At 48.4% G+C, this 3,613-nt stretch overlaps 1 annotated feature.

The window, feature by feature from the left end:
• Window positions 659-1,435: an enhancer, noted in NCBI's record as "H3K4me1 hESC enhancer chr20:47034597-47035373 (GRCh37/hg19 assembly coordinates)". NCBI's record gives its function as "activates a minimal SCP1, AML or CMV promoter by ChIP-STARR-seq in naive H9 embryonic stem cells {active_cell/tissue: H9 hESC(naive)}" and the evidence as "EXISTENCE:reporter gene assay evidence [ECO:0000049][PMID:30033119]".

Raw genomic sequence — 3,613 nt, forward strand, 5'->3', positions numbered from 1 at the left:
CTTCCCCTCTCCCCGGTGGTCAATATTAACCAGTATTTTCAGCACACACATTGCAGACTTCCACCGGACTGCCCATCACCGTGCTCTCCCTTAGCCCACTCCCTGAATTCTACTCGGGTGTGTGCCAGCAACTTAACATGGCCGCTTCTCTTTCTGTAGCTGAGTTGGCCAAGCGCTTTGACATATGTCACCTCAGTCTGAGCTCCCAGCAGTCATGAGTGATGAGTATTAGGAATTTGCTCTATTTTACCAAGGAAAAAACCTTGATCCCTAGAGGAAAGGTCCTTCCCACAGTCAGGTGCCTGTGAACAGCCACAGCAAGACTCGGATCCCCGGCTCTCCCATGAGTCATCCAGCATGGTGGGCAGCCAGCAGCTCCGTGCCAGGTGCTGCCATAGGCGCTGGGCACACGGGTTCTTAAGTCAGGTCAGTCCCTTCCTCCTTGAGCTCATACACAGGTAAGGAGGGAGAGAGATGTTCCCCAACTCATCACGCACTCAAGTTCATTTCAGATGGTGGTGAGGGGTCCTGAGAAGAGGAAATGGGGTGACATGCTAGGAAGTGCCTGGGTGGAGGGGGCTCCTGGAGACAGGGTGGTCAGGGAGGCACTCACCCAGGAGGTGACACTTGACAGAGCCCTGAAAAGTGAGGAGGTGCAACCATGCACAGGGCTGGGGACAGGAACACGGCCACACAGGGGAATGAACCTGGCCGTTTGTGGCACAGAAGGAAGGTCAGCAAGTCCAGGAGAAAGGGGAGGAGAAGAGAACAGGCCCCTGGCGCCTGCACGTCTGGAAGCATCGCCAAGTTTCCAAGCATCTTTCCAGGGCAGAGAAGGCTCCACTCTGGGCAGGAGGGGCTTGCTTCACCAGCAGGAGGAGTTGGGGAGCAGGAGGGAGTCCTGATGTCCTGGCTACAAGTCCAGGGCTGGAAAACCAGGCGGGCCTCCGCCGAGGCTGCTCCTTCCCCATTGGGCCTCCGCTATCTGGTTGGGGCATCTCAGACTGAGGAGCAGGAAGTGTGACTGTCGCAGGCCAATGTCTGCTGACGAATCTCCCAGCCCAGATGGTGGGCCTGCGGTGGGCTTCCTGGTGCACGCGGAGGCGACTCTGGCGAGGGGGATTCCCTCCCCTTTGAATTTCCTCCTGGTTCTGCCCACGTGAAACTGGGCTGGTTGGCTGGGCTTCCTTTTCTCTATTTGGCTTTCTTATTCTCCAAATAAAAGACGAAAAGTCAAAACATAGGCATAATGCAGAATTATAACGCTTGGATTTGTCTAACTTCATCCCTGCAATCGCCCAAATATTCACATAGTTCAAGAACACCATCGTATAACAGGCTACTCAGGGACTGTGACATGATGACACTTGTAGGAACCCAGTGTGTCATTTAGTCCTCTGTGTGTCTGTGTCCCATTCTGTGGGTGTGCACACAACAACCACACACAAACTCACCGGTTCCCTTGTGTGTGTTTAGACAACATGAAACTTTGCATCACAAAACCACCGAGTGATGTCAGAGGTGCCATGAATCATAATGACAGCTCCTGGCCTGGTATCCAAGAGACCTCAACATGCTGCTAAGTCACTGTCCCACTCCATGAGAACCGGTCACTCTCTTTGAGCCTCCAGTTGAAGGGAACTAAATTAATCTAGGATGACCCATATTGTGCAGCAGCTAATGACCCAGTTCACCTCTGGTTAATTTTCTGCTTCTGGGTGTCCTGGGAACGGGTGGTGTTTACTCCAGTTGGGACAAACCTTTATTAATGAGCCAGAGTGTTGGCTGCTCTGGGCGGAGTGTTTTAATAGAAATCGGCCAATGGGCCAGGGCGTGCTGAAGTTGCAGAATATGAATGAGGCCCTTTTCTTTGCCCTCTCTCTCTTCCACCCTGATTTGCATAACTAAGCTTTCTGCCTTTTTATCTTTTTAATGTGTTTGTTTGTTGATTATTGATCTGTCCCCTATGGAGGGACAAATCATTCGCCCACCAGGCAGTGACCTAAATTTGGCAGAAGCCCCAGCCATGTCTGCAGCAAACTGGAGCCAGACAGTTATACTTGTATTTGTAGGGACAATTCCAGGAGAATTTATATGGCCCAAGGTTGTAATGATCAAAATTACACTGGCCTCCAGCAGACTCATTAAGGGGAATCTTGGCAAAGGAAGACTTGATGAGTAAGAAGAAAAGAAAAGATCCTCTTTCATGGTAAAAGATCTGGCTTAATTTAACAAAAAAGCTCAAAAGCCTCTCCAAATGAGGCTGCAGTTTCCCTGGGGAAAGAGAAGGTACTGCTGAGTTTTAGAAATGTGGTTCTCAGCTGTGTCCAAACCTATGCCACCTTTTTTAAACCAATATTTTATAATTTCCACACTTGTATCTTGAAATATAATTCATAAATACAGCCTATCCACATCTTTTTAAAAGTTCAATATAATGCCCTAACTATAATATAAAGACAGAAGTATAAGAAAAGTAATTTATGTAAAGTAATTTGTAACAAATTAATGCATACTTCAACATGCAAATGCTCTGACTGACCGCACTAGAAGTGATTAAGCTGTAAATGCAGACTGGTGACAAGCCTGTTGAGTTGCCACCTCAAATGTCATGCACATTGCCGCTAGTGAGGAGAGGGCTCAGGATGCTGACCCGCTGGTGGTGAACTTCTGAACAAAACAAACACGAGTTTCCCTTGATTTACACCAGAGTTGCTGTCCCAGGAAAGTCAGTGATTATTAAAACATTATGATCGTCTCTATGTAAACTGGACTTTTCACTGGAGGCTCAGATCATTGTAAATAGGGTTTGCTTACATGAATGTCCAGTGAAACATTCAAAACTAGTGCAAGATACAAGATAAATTCTGCATGGTGTGGGATTGTCCTATGTATTACAGCCGCATAGTATCCTCAGCTCACACCCCAAATGCCAACATCACGCTCCTCTCAGCATTGTGCACCCAAAGCACCTCTTTAGGGGCGAGACCGTCATTGATAACCACCACCCCTTGCACAGCCGCGTGTGCTCACAGAGGCTAAAATCTACTGTTGTCTCCACCTGAAGTTTTTCTTGTCCTGTAACCTTTCCCTGGCTGGCTCTCCACCCTGCCCAGGATGAGGCAGGGAATCCAAGGACACTCAGCTACCTCAGGTCTCACCCACCCTCTCCCCCTCCCCAGGCAGAGAAGAATAGAGTCCTGAAACCCTGTCCCCAGAGAGTGAATCAACCTCCTGGGTCTGAGGGCTGCACACACATTTGTTCCTGGTTCCCCCAGGGCCTGACAACCTCACTCCTATTCCTCTGTCTTGGGAAATCCCTCAAAGCCAACTGTACCTTCTGTGTGGGTCTTGAGGTCCTCCACCAAGGGGCTCTTTCCTTTTTATCAGTTTGTTCATTCACTTGTATATTATCTTTGTTACCAAAATATGTCAAGATAATCACATAAGTCAAGATAAAAATGGCCAATGCAACCACATCTTGTCAACTTGGTGCATTTCTATGTACATGGTCAATTTTCACACACAGGGAGACTCTGTCTACATTTTCTCCCAGGATTCTACCACGCTTCCTTTTCAATCCTTCTCTAATTTCCCTGCCCCCTGCCTGTCT

This window comes from Homo sapiens, chromosome 20 (assembly GCF_000001405.40).
Source record: "Homo sapiens chromosome 20, GRCh38.p14 Primary Assembly".
Classification (NCBI taxonomy): Eukaryota; Metazoa; Chordata; class Mammalia; order Primates; family Hominidae; genus Homo; species Homo sapiens.